The sequence below is a fragment of the Homo sapiens genome, chromosome 12 (assembly GCF_000001405.40).
Source record: "Homo sapiens chromosome 12, GRCh38.p14 Primary Assembly".
NCBI lineage: Eukaryota > Metazoa > Chordata > Mammalia > Primates > Hominidae > Homo > Homo sapiens.
The window spans coordinates 64922918-64936410 of NC_000012.12; the positions used below are offsets into that span (position 1 = coordinate 64922918).

The 13493-nt window shown below is 40.2% G+C and overlaps 2 long non-coding RNA genes and 1 pseudogene across 2 annotated transcripts in view, besides 1 other annotated feature; 1 reads left to right on the forward strand and 2 right to left on the reverse strand.

The window, feature by feature from the left end:
• The window catches only part of LINC02389 (long intergenic non-protein coding RNA 2389), a 93749-nt gene that overhangs the window by 39144 nt on the left and 41112 nt on the right, over nt 1–13493 (forward strand). The window lies entirely within an intron of this gene.
• The window catches only part of LINC02231 (long intergenic non-protein coding RNA 2231), a 71447-nt gene that overhangs the window by 2073 nt on the left and 55881 nt on the right, over nt 1–13493 (reverse strand). The window lies entirely within an intron of this gene.
• On the reverse strand, nt 1054–1231 carry LOC124903125 (uncharacterized; annotated as a pseudogene).
• Nucleotides 8744–9245: an enhancer, noted in NCBI's record as "H3K4me1 hESC enhancer chr12:65325441-65325942 (GRCh37/hg19 assembly coordinates)". NCBI's record gives its function as "activates a minimal SCP1, AML or CMV promoter by ChIP-STARR-seq in naive H9 embryonic stem cells {active_cell/tissue: H9 hESC(naive)}" and the evidence as "EXISTENCE:reporter gene assay evidence [ECO:0000049][PMID:30033119]".

Below are 13493 nucleotides of genomic sequence, written 5' to 3' on the forward strand. Positions count from 1 at the left end.
TGTTAACTTATCTGTTGTTAAATATTATGGCTATAATATTTAATATTCAATAAAAATACATAACATAATATATCAAATATATGTTATATTTAATATATTGTTATATTATTAAATATAATATGTTAAATTTAATATATTGTTATATTATTCAATATAATATGTTTAATTTAATATATTATTACCATAATATATTATGGTAATAGAAGTTATTAAAGCAATTTTATTTCTATACCTTGCAAGATCAGTGGGCCAGTGACATGGCATGATTTCCTCATATTGTGCCTGCATTGTATTGCCTGTTTGATACTGGGCAGGCAAGAATGGGTTGGATGGTGGTTACTCTTGAGTAACTGGACTCAGAAGAATGTCTGATGGTGGGACATACGACACAAAATTTGCACAAAAGGAAAAACTGTTTAAGCTCAGATTCCAATCAGAACATGACTCTCCTTCCTTGCATTCTTCTCCCATTTTTCTCTCCCACCTCCAGGTCACAGCAGCAATGCAAAGAAGGCAGACACAGAATACTCAGCTTATAGAGAAAATCCATTGCCTGGGTAACACATAAGGCAGGCAGCCAGTATTTCAGGGGATATTGGAGAAAAATTATTTTCTATTGAAATTGGTTGGTAAAGATGATTCTTAAATTGCACTTTGATTGATTGCATTGCACATGAAGAGATTAAGAATACTTTAAAATAATTGAAAGAACCTTGATTCAAAGACATACCCATCTCAGCACAGGCTGGCACAGGAGAAGCACACTGTGTGGCATAGTATGAGATCATCAGAAGCTGGAGGAAGAGGAACTCAGGCCACATCTGCCTCAAACTCTAGTTTCATCTTGCTAAGCTGCTTATCTGACCATAACAACAATGCTAGCTCCATGCACTGTGGCACTGAGTACAGCAGAGATGAAATATTGAACATGGTATTCAGACTAACTGGAGTAAGCAGAGTGACATCCTTTTCTCTTTTTAATAGAAGTGAATGCAAAATGGGAATGAGAACCATTGTCATGTAAATAAAAAGTAAATACGTTTATTTCTCAAAAGCAAGACACATTTCCCTGAGAATACAAGAGAAGAAAATGGCATATCCAAATGTGTACTTTCATACTTAACTATTCACATATATAAGGCAATTAATTGCTCCTGAGTTACAGTCATGTATCACTTAATCATGAGGATATATTCTACACTTGATCTTAGCCAAAAGGCTGAGAAGCGATAATGATGAAGATATCTTCTAAGAAATGTATTGTTAGGTGATTTTGTCATTGTGGAAATATCACAGAGTGCACTTACACAAACCTAGATGGTACAGACTACTACACATTCAGGCTATATGGTATAGCCTATTGCTCCTCGGCTACAAACCTGTACAGCAGGTTATTGTACTGAATGCTGTAGACAATTGTAACACATTGGTAAATATTTGTGTGTCTAAACATATCTAAGTATAGAAAAGGTACAGTAAAAATATGGTATTATAATCTTACAGGACCACTGTTGTATTTGGGGTCCGTCACTGAAACATCATCATGTGGCACATGATAGACGTATTTTCTTGGGGGTTCTGTCAAATCACAGCATGGCTTCAGTTTTTTTTTTTTTTTTTTTTTTTTTTTTTTAGGACAGGGTCTCACTCTGTTGCCCAGGCTGGAGTGCAATGGCATAATCACGGTTCTCTGCAGCGTCAGCCTCCCTGGGCTCAGGTGATCCTCTCACCTCAGCCTCCAGAGTACCTGGGACTACAGGTGCATGGCACCACACCCAGCTAATTTTTGTATTTTTTTGTAGAGATGGGATTTCACCATGTTGCCCAGGCTTATGGCTTCAATTCTTAATAGACATTTGGAAGCAAAACACAAAATCATAGTATGTTAAATATTTTTTCAGTTTAACTCAGCATGTGTTAATTGGACAGTTATATATCTGAAATTATATTAGATGCTGGGATATGAAGATGATTGATAAAAACCACATGTCAAGACCCCTTTTCATGATCAAGGTAGCTTATTAAGGGGTGTGTGTGTATACTTCTGTTAGTTTGTGTGTGTGAATAGAAACAGGAGTGGAAGAAAACTTTTTTTTTAAAAGAAAGTATTCAGTTCCCTGATTTTAAAAAGATTAGGAAAAAAAGCAGCTAGGCACAATGGCTCATGTCTGTAATCCTACCACTTTGGGAGGCTGAGGTGGGTGGATCATGAAGTCAAGATATTGAGACCATCCTGGCCAACATGGTGAAACCCCATCTCTACTAAAAATACAAAAAAAAATTAGCTGGGCGTGGTGGCGGGCACCTGTAGTCCCAGCTACTCAGGAGTCTGAGGCAGGAGAATGGCTTGAACACGGGAGGCGGAGATTGCAGTGAGCCAAGATCACACCACTGCACTCCAGTCTGGCGACAGAGATGATGTCTTTTGCTTTGCAGAAGCTTTTTAGTTTCAGTAGGTCCCATTTATCCATTTTGGTTTTTGTTGCCTTTGTTTTTGGGTTCTTTTTCATGAATTTTTTGCCTAAGCCAATGTCCAGAAGAGTTTGTAACGTTATCTTCTAGAATTTTTATGGTTTCGGGTCCTAGATTTAAATCTTTGGTCTATCTTGAGTTAATTTTTGTATAAGATGAAGATGGGTATCCAGTTTCATTCTTCTACATGTGGCTTGCCCTATTTATTGTATAGGGTGTCCTCTCCCCTATTTATGTTTTTGTATGCTATGTTGAAGATCAACTGGTTGTATTTGGTTTTATTTCCGAGTTCTCTATTCTGTTCCATTGGTCTACATGCCTATTTTTATACCAGTACCATGCTGTTTTGGTAAATACAGCCAGCCTATAGCCTGGTAGTATAATTTGAAGTTGGGTAATGTGATGCCTCCAGATTCATTACTTTTGCTTAGAATTGCTTTGACTATGTGGGCTCTTTTTTGATTCCATACATATTTTAGGATTGTTTTTTCTAGTTCTATGAAGAATGATGATGGTATTTTGATGGGAATTGCATTGAATTTGTAGATTGCTTTGGGCAGTATAGTCATTTTCACAATACTGATTCTACCCATCCATGAGCATGGGATGTGTTTCCATTTTTTTGTGTAATCTATGATTTATTTCAGCAGTGTTTTGCAGTTTTCCTTGTAGAGGTCTTTCACCTCCTTGGTTAAATATATTCCTAGGTATTTTATTTTTTTTATAGTTGTTATAAAAGGGATTAAGTTCTCAGCTTGGTCATTGTTGATGTATAGCAGTGCTACTGATTTGTGTACATTGATTTTGTAACCTGAGACTACTGAATTCATTTATCAGATCTAGGGGCTTTTTGGATGAGTCTATAGGGCTTTCCAGGTATATGGTTATATCATTGCTGAACAGTGACAGTTTGACTTTCTTTTTTTTCCAATTTGGATGCCCTTCATTTATTTCTCTTGTGATTGCTCTGTCTAGGATTTCCAGTACTATGTCGAATAGAAGTGGTGAAAGTGGGTATCCTTGTCTTGTTCTAGTTGTTACAGGGAATGCTTTAAACATTTCCCCATTCGGTATGATATTGGCTGTGGGTATGTCATATATGGCAGGGGTCCCCAACCGCCAGGCTGCAGACCGTACTGGTCCATGGCCTGTTAGTAACTGGGCCTCGCGGCAGGAGGTGAGTGGCTGGTGAGCAGGCATTACCACCTGAGCTCTGCCTCCTGTCAGATCAGTGGTAGCATTAGATTCTCATAGGAGCATGAACCGTATTGTGAACTGCGCATGTGAGGGATCTAGGCTGCGCAATCCTTATGAGAATCTAACTAATGCCCAGTGATCTGAGGTGGAACAGTTTCATCCTGAAACTCCCACCCCACCTCACAAAACAGTCTCCCACAAAACCAGTCTCTAGTGCCGAAAAGGTTGGGGACTGCTGATATACAGCTTTTATTACTTTGAGGTAAGTCCTTTCTATGCCTATTTTGTTGAGAATTTTTTATTTTTAATCATAAAGCAATGCTGGATTTTATCAAATGCTTTTTCTGTGTCCATTTTTGTTCATAATTCTGTTTATGTGATGTATGACATTTATTGACTTGCTTGTGTTAAACCATTCCTGCATCCCTGAGATGAAACCTACTTGATCATGATGTATCATCTTTTTGATGTGTGCTGCTGGATTCAGTTAGCTAGTATTTTGCTGAGGATTTTTGCATCTATGTTCATCAGGGATATTGGCCTATAGTTTTCTTTATTTGTTATATCCTTTCCTGGTTTTGGTATTAGGGTGATACTGGCTTCATAGAATGATTTAGGGAGGATACCTTCTTTTTCTGTCTTTTGGAATAGTTTCAGTAGGATTGGTACCAGTTCTTCTTTGAGTGTCTTGTAGAATTCAGGTGTGAATCCATCTGATCCTGGACATTTTTGTTGTTGGCAATTTTCAAATTATTGATTCTATCTTGCTGTTTGATATTGGTCAGTTCAGGGTTTCTATTTCTCCCCAATTTCATCTAGGAAGGTTGTATGTTTCCAGGATTTATCCATTTCCTCTGGATTTTCTAGTTGATGTGTGTAAAAGTGTTTTTAGTACCCTTGAATGATCTTTTGTATTTCTGTGGTGTCAATTGCAATCTTTCCAGTTTTATTTCTAATCGAGCTTATTTGGATTTTCTCTCTTCCTTTCTTGACTAGTCTTGCTAATGGTCTATCAATTTTGTTGGTCTTTTCAAAGAACCAGCTTTTTGTTTTATTCATCTTTTGTATCTTTTTTTGGTTTGTTTTAATTTCATTTAGTTTTGTTCTGATCTTTGTTCTTTCTTCTGCTATGTTTGGGTTTAGTTTGTTTTTGTTTCTCTAGTTCCTTGAGATGTGACATTAGGTTGTCAATTTGTGCTCTTTCAGACTCTTTGATGTAGGTATTTAACACTATGAACTTCCCTCTTAGCACTGCTTTTGCCGTATCTCAGAGGTTTTGATAAGTTGTATCAGTATTATTCATTTCAAATAATTTTTAAACTTCCATCTTGATTTCATTGTTGACCCAAAAATCATTCAAGAGCAGATTATTTAATTTCAATGTATTTTTATAATTTTGAGGGTTCGTTTTGGAGTTGACTCTCAGTTTTATTCCACTGTTGTGTCTGAGAAGATACTCGATATGATTTTGGTATTCTTAAATTTATTGAGACTTGTTTTGTGGCCTATCACATGGTCTATCTTGGAGAGTGTTCCATGTGCTGACAAGAAGCTCATGAGAATGTATATTCTGCAGTTGTTGGGAAGAGTGTTCTGTAAATATCTGTTAAGTCCATTTGTTCTAGGGTATAGTTTAAGTCCATTGTTTCTTTGTTGACTGTCTTGACCTGTCTAGCGCTGTCAGTGGAGTACTGAAGTCCCCCACTATTATTGTGTTGCAGTCTATCTCATTTCTTAAGTCTAGTAGTAATTGTTTTGTAAATCTGGGAGCTCCAGTGTTAGGTGCATATATATTTAGGATTGTGATATTTTCCTGTTGGACTAATCCTTTTATCATGATATAATGTCCTTCTTGATCTTTTTTGACTCTTGTTTTCTGAAAGTCTGTTTTGTCTGATTCAAGAATAGCTATTCCTGCTTGCTTTTGGCTTCCCTTTATGTGGAATATCTTTTTCCACCCTTTACCTTAAGTTTATGTGAGTCCTTATGTGTTAGGTGAGTCTCTTGAAAATAGCAGATACTTGGTTGGTGGATTTTTTTTTTTTTTTAACCATTCTGCCATTCTGTATCTTTTAAGTGGAGCATTCAGGCCATTTATATTCAATGTTAGTATTGAGATATGAGGTACTATTCTATTCATCATGCTAGTTGTTGCCTTAATACCTTGTGTTTTTCACTGTGTTATTGTTTCATGTGAGATTTATGCTTTAAGGAGGTTCTATTTTGGTGCATATCAAGCTTTTGTTTCAAGATTTAGAATTCCTTTTAGTATTTCTTATAGTGCTGGTTTGGTAGTGGCAAATTCCCTCAGCATTTGTTTGTCTAAAAATGACTAGCTTTCCTTCATTTCTGAAGCTTAGTTTTGATGAATACAAAATTCATGGCTGACAATTATTTTGCTTAAGGAGGCTAAAGATAGGACTCCAATCCCTTCTGGCTGGTAAGGTTTCTGCTGAGAAATCTGTTAGTTTGATAGGATTTTCTTTATAGGCTACCTGATGCTTTTGTCTCACAACTCTTAAAATTCTTTCTTTCATGTTGACTTTAGATAGCCTGATGACTATGTGCCTTGGTGATGATCTTTTTGCAATGAATTTCCCAGGTGTTTTTGAGCTTCTCATATTTGGATATCTAGCAAGGCCAGGGGAAGTTTTCTTCAATTATTTCCCCAAATAAGTTTTCTGAACTTTTAGACTTCTCTTCTGCCTCCAGAACAGCAGCTATTTTTAGTTTTGGCCATTGTACAGAATCCCATATTCTTGGAGACTTTGTTCATTTCTTTTGATTCTCTCTTCATTATCTTTGTCTGTCTGGGTTAATTAGAAAGCCTTGTCTTTGAGTTCTGAAATTCTTTCTTCTACTTGTTCTAGTCTATTGTTGAAACTTTCCACTGCATTTTGTATTTTCCTAAGTGTATCTTTCATTTTCAGAAGTCCTGATTGGTTTTTCTTTATGATAGCTGTCTGTCTGGAAAATTGTTCATTCGTATCCTGAACTCTTTTTCCATTCTTTATGTTGGTTTTCACCTTTCTCTGGTATCTCCTTGAGTAGCTTAATAATCAACCTTCTGAATTCCTTATCTGGTATTTAAAGATTTCATCTTGGTTTGCATCAGTTGCTGGGAAGCTAGTGTGATCTTTTAGGGGTGTTATAGAACTCTGTTTTGTCATATTACCAGAATTACTTTTCTGGTTCCTTCTTATTTGGGTAGACTATTTCTTCAAATTGTTCTTGAATTTAATTTTGATTTGACTATGTGCGTGTGTGTGTGTGTGTGTGTGTGTGTGTGTGTTTGATGGAGTCTCACCCTGTTGCTCAGGCTGGAGTGCAATAGCGTGATCTCAGCTCACTGCAACATCCATTTGAGGCTGACCTCAGCCTCCCAAATGCTGGGATTACAGGTGTGAGCCACCACACCTGGCTGACTGTGGTTTTCTTTTTTTTTTTTAATTTCTTTTTTTCCCTCTGAAGGATATGACTTTAATGTTTATAGTTTATTATAGCCTAATTTGATTCTTGATGCTTATAGAGGTGAAGACTCTCTCTGTATGAGTTCTTTAGTCATAGAGAGTCTTTGTGCTCTGGCTATTCCAGGTGCTAGTTATAGTAGTTATGTGCTTGGTGTGTGGGCAAGTTTACTATCTCCTATGGGGTTGGAATAACAAGGATCTCTTGAAGCTTATTTTATTCTCTCATGGTGTACACTTTTTTTTTTTTTTGGAGATGGAGTCTTGCTCTGTCACTCAGGCTGGAGTGCAGTGGTGTGATCTCAGCTCACTGCAAGCTCCACCTCCTGGGTTCATGCCATTCTCCTGCCTCAGCCTCCTGAGTAGCTGGGACGACAGGCTCCTGCCACCACGCCTGGCTAATTTTTTTGTATTTTTAGTAAAGACGGGATTTCACCGTGTTAGCCAGGATAATCTTGATCTCCTGACCTCATGATCCGCCTGCCTTGGCCTCCCAAAGTGCTGGGATTACAGGCATGAACCACTGCACCCGCCCATTGTGTACACTTCTTTTATTTATTTAATTTTCCTCCACTATTTTATTTTGTGAGTTGATGATTTAGGCTTCAGGCAAGGGGGAGAGATATCCCTGGGTAGGCACTGGTTGTAGCTAAAGCAGGTGGGTAGATGTAATACCTAACGGTGGGAAGAAGTTCCAGTCTTGATGAAGTTGGCTAGGGTAGTTCTCAATTTGATGTGCTGAGGTTTAATCAGAGTGACGGGTGGGAGCTACCTCATCTCCCCTGCCAGGCCAGCAGGAAAGCTATCCACTTTCCAGCCTCACTCCTGTCCCAGTGTTTCAGCTATTCAGATCAGACAAGCACCTCTTTTCATCTGTAGAAATGTTTATGTTCCAAGTAGAGAGGAGTTGTGACTGCCTTTCATGCAAACCTGAATCTGGGGAGTGCTCCTCCTGTGGAGATGCTGTCACCTGAATTGTTCTAGGAACGCCATCTATAGGTGCATACATGCCGCATTCCTGTGGGAGAAGCCCCAGCTGTGTCTGCAGTAGTGTACTGAAGGGGACAAGGACCCCTTCTCCAAGACCCTTCATGATCACAGAGGCTGCCTCCCTGTTGTGGTAGAAGTGTAGACTTTCCCTGCTGTGCCCAGCACTGCAATTGTGTCTCTGCTGTAAGAAACTCCTCACTAGCAGAAAGATCTGGGACTCAAGGTCTGCTGTTCAGATTTTTTTTGTCCCACGGGGTGTTCCCTTGATGTGGTGCTCTCCCTCTTCCCCTAGGAATGGGACTTTATGAGAGCCAGACTACAGCGTTGTTATTGTTCTTCTAGGTCTAGCCACCCAGTGGGGCTACTGACTCTGGGCTAGTGTCTGCAAGTGATCCAGTGATGTGACCTGACTTCAGGTCTCCCAGCAGTGGATACCAGCACAAGCCCTGATGGTGGTGACAGGGGAGTGACACAGACTCTGCGAGATTCCTTGGGTATAGATAGGCTTAATGTGCTGGCTTTCTTGTATGCTGGTTATAATTTTAGTGAACTTGTTACATGGACAGGCTTAGGCCCTCGGGTAATAGCTGAGGTCACACAGTTGATTTCTCCTTACTGGGTGCAGTGTTATTCTACTTAGAGGTGCCATAATGGACTGTGTCAGTTGGCTCCAGCCAAGAGGTGGCACTTGCAGAAGAGCACCAGCCACAGTAGTAGCAGTGGGATTTGAGCTTGCCCTAAGTTTTCTTGGGGAAGTATTCTGATTTCTCATGCAATGAGCAGGGCTATAAAGCTCCCCAAAGTTTATGTCCTTTGTGTTAAGCTACCAGGGCATGTGGAGGGGCACAACCAGGTGGGGGCAGGGTCAGACGGATATGAGGGTCTAAAGCTCTGACTCTCCTTCAGAAGGGCCCTTCCTGTGAGGGTTTGCGGGGTGATTTCAGGCTGCAGGGATAATGTTCCAGAGGGGAATAGAACTGCCTCTGCTGCACAGAAGAGTTTGCAAAGGGAGTGGGGAGTAGCCAGTGACAGTAAGCCTCACCCAGCTCCCACACAGTTGGTGAGGCCAATCTAACTCCCACAGTGCTCCACTAACAGCAGCAGGTTTAGATTCAGGCAGTCTGCACACAGAGCTGAGACCTGCCCCAGGCCATCAACTTCCCCACAGAGATAGCAACCTCAGCTTTCAGGCTACGCTCCTTCCTGCCTGCCCACAAGGCCAGTGCCCAGCTCCTGTGTTCACTTGTGTCTGCAGTGCACTTCCTGCTCCCTGCCTTTTCCCCCTGCCACTGTTCTGGTCAAAGGAGTTCTTCCCCACTTGAGATCATACCACAAAATTTAGTTGGGAGCTTCTTTCACCCTGTGACCCCTCCCTGAGCTTGTTGGCTGACTTCTCCAATGGCCCCTATAAGATATAGTTAGGAATGTCTTCCTTTGGTTCATGCTGGAAACTGGGAATGCCTGCAAGTCACTTTCTGCTGCTGCTTCCATTTTTATAGTTCATGTTGCTCTCTAAATCCATTCCAGTTCAGGTAGGGTTAAGGCCTTCTCTCATGGTCTGGATTTTCAGATTCCTTGGTAGGGATGTGTACTCTGGAGGCTGACTCTCTCCCTCTCACACTCAGGACTTACAGTTTTTCACCAGTCTCATGGAGTAGGCTGCAGCCTGCCACTTTTTTCAAAGAATCTGTGGTTTCTTTAGGTTTTTCTGTTAAGTTCCTGCATTGGTTCTTGGGGGAAAAAAATCACAGTGTGAAACTCTACACACTATTCTGTCCTTCCAGGTGGGAGAGGCATGCTAATACTGCCTCTAGTCTGCCACCTTGGAAAAAAAAATCCATTTTGGATTAAAAAAACTTTTTAAAGGAAAGAGAATGAAAGTTACTAAATCCTAGAAAAGAAAGAACTTGAAAAAGAGGAAGAGGAAAGAAGGAAACACTAGAAATCCTACATATCTGAGAAGTACAAACTAAATGATGAGAAACTAGATGAGAAAATTGGGGCATTCCCTTGATTCAGTGAGGAATAGCCATGACCACCAAGGTGAGACCATCAGCTATCATATTTGCAGTTGTTTTCTGTGTCAGTTCAGCCCTATAGTTATAAAAAATATTTGAGTGATTTGGGGGTGAACTGAGTCAATAGAAAGCTATCCTTTTAGTCTGACTGTTGCTTTACATCCAAGTCCCTGTCAGCTATTTAGGGTAGCATGAGAATCCCAGGCCTTAAAATTCAAGTTTCAGCTAGTTTGCCTCCACAAGGCTTGGGAGACAAACCAAAGCCTTTGGGGAGTGTGTGTGTGTGTGTGTGTGTGTATGTGTCTCTGTGTGTAACAGTACACGTTTTACAATATTTCTCTGTGATGATTTGGGTGAAAATCTCATGCATATTTGCCAATAGTTGTGGTCCCATCACTCCTTGTTGGATATGAAGCATCATTACATGATCTTGTTCACAGCCTTTGGTGGGTCAGATTATGAAATCATAACTCTTCAAAGAAAATCTTTGAGGGCAGGATGTAAAGTCCACTGGAAATCACTAGGAAATATGAGGAGCTCTGAGTTCTGTTCTTAATTTTTCCAAAGCCTCGCCCTATGACTAGAGCAAGAGATTTCAGTGTTTGCTGGTGAGCAATCTATCAGTTTGGACACTTAAAAATTTCTGTGGAGTAAAAAGAAGTGGTCACATTTACGCACGTCACCACCAGTAGCAAAGTAGGTCCTGAGTTCTGTGGCAACTTCTTCCTGACCTAAACCCCATTTGAGGACATCTGGGAACCCAGGTACCCTAATTTCTTTCATTCATTTAGCAGCATTACTGGATTTCAGTCCCCATGGGAGCTTCAGGAATGGCTGGGAATAGCCATTTTCTCCACTTCAAGCAGTGAAGAAAATGTGCTCCTTGCTATAGGCAGGAACAGCAGAAGTCTTAAACGGTTTTAGATCTCAGTTCTCAGCACATGTTTACTTCACAGAGCAGTGTTTACTTCACAGCAGGCGATCAAGTAATGTTAAAGTTGAAAGAGGATCTGACTCTCAGGGTGCACAAAGATTTGACAATTTTCTTTAGACATCATTAGATTCTCTCTAGTGTATATGCTTTTTTTAAAAAAATAAAAACAAAAAACAATCCTGGAATTCTTAGAATCCCAGAATTCTGGGAAACAAACAGGAAATTGTCAGGTTGGAGTGATTCTGCTTCATGGCTCTCCATAGATAATTTAAAAGTGAATGGCTCTGTGATTGGTCAAGCCACAGATGAGTTCCTTAGAGACCAGTGGGGAATGCATATTTAAGGCGTGATGGTGATCAGGACTGTTCTAAAGTGAGTTATGGTGCTAAACACTGTACCACAAGCACACATGATGGAAGTCTATCTTTGAGCTTAGAGTTAGTCCACCCTCCCTTCATATGGTGAACTCTAAACTGGTTTGCAGTGAAGAAAACATTCTTAATAAAGAACCCCACATGAGGAAGGGATGCCTACGGTGCCCTCAGAGAAGCCTGCTGTGACTCCAAAGGCTGTTAACATGCCTGGTTTCACCCTCTTGGAGACCACGTCCTTTTCTCCAGAGCACAGATCTTGCTGTGCATGGAAACAATTACCCATGTCTTCCTAGGCTTCATCAGTGCAGGGATTGGGTGTATTTTTATTCACTACTGAGTCCCTAGCACCTAGTATAATGTCTGGCACAAAGTCAACACTAAGCACATAAATGAACCAGAGCTTCCATGAATGAACTTGCGCTATCGTTCTAGATGTAAGAGTCATAGTATCAAGGGGTCACTCAGAATACCTGCTGCTATTAGCTCTGTTGAGTTGCAATTCTGCTCACTCCTTCCACTATTAAAAGAAAACTAAAGGAAGTATATGTATTTATGTATGTGTGTGTACACACATTTGTATTATATATACATATATGTATATGAGGCATATATACACACATTCATATATTCATACATTCATATTCATATTCATTCATATATGTGTGCATACATCTACATACATACCTATATATGTGTATATATGGCAAAGTCATAAAAGCAAACAGCAAATTGAGACAAATACATGCAGTAAATATGAAAATATATAATATCCTTATTGTATGTTGGGGAATATCAGCTATGTAAAATGGAAAGAGAAAGAAAATTTGCCATTTCAAAGTTAGTAGTAGCCTCTTTGTATATAATATGGCTGCACGTTGGGATTATCTTGGAAGATTTAAAACATTCTGATGCCTGGATCTGACTGGAAGGTTCTGATTTAATTGTCATGGGGCATGGCCTGGACACTGAGTTTTCAAGATCTCTCCAGGTGTATGAGTCTGCTCAGGCTGCCATAACAAAATGCCACTGTGTGGATTAAACAACAGAAACTTATTTTCTCACAGTTCTGGAGGATAAAAGTCTAAGACCAAGGTGCTGGCAGGGTTGCTTTCTGGTGAGGCCTCTTTTTCTTAGCTTGCAGGTGGCTGTCTCTGTGTTGTGTCCTCACATGGTCTTTCTTCTGTGTGCATGGAGAGAGAGTTCTGGTGTCTCTTCCACTTCTCATAAGGACTCTAGTTCTCTTGGATCAGGGCTCCTCCCTTATGACCTCATTTAACCTTAATTACCTCTTTAAAGACATTGTTTCCAAATGCAGTCACACTGGGTGTTAGGGCTTCAACATATGAATTTTGGGAGGACACAGTTCAGTCCATAACACCAATGTAGAGCTAAGGCAGCAAAGCATTGGTCTAGGGGCAGACAGCAAATCATTTTGAGGAGATTCTGTTACTTCTGTGAGAAACCACTCTGAATCTATGGCAACTTGTTATCTCTTGCCCTAGAAGTGCCCCAAGGAAGGAGGACCTTTCCTTGTGATTTGACAGAAGATCACTGTGGAGAGGGAATGAGGGTCCTTTCATGAGGAATGGGATCAAGATTTCGACCCCTACGTTTTTGATAGACAACCTTCTAGTGGATTGAGATGATCTCAATGAAGGTCACCAGAAAGAAAAGATCCTAAAGGATCCCAAGAAGAATTTTTTGTGAGAGAAGAGGGAGTCTGGTAATCTGGGCCCAATGTGAGGCCATGTTTATAGCAGCAATCATAAAAACAGTGGCTTATTGCCCCAGGACTCTTTTACCTGAAGTAATTTTGTTGGTCTCGCTCAAAGTGTTTGGCTTCAAAGTAGGTGACATTCAGTGATGGATAGTCCCACCAGGGTGTCATGGGTGGGAGAACATTGGTTCTCTAACGGAAAGATGAATAGTAGTTTGGCAACAAACGGTAGATGTGCATCCTTCTTCCAGCTCAGGTATGAACTCGTTGAGGGCAATGACTGTGCTTGGCTGCACAGTTTCAACATTCTTTGAAGATATGGAG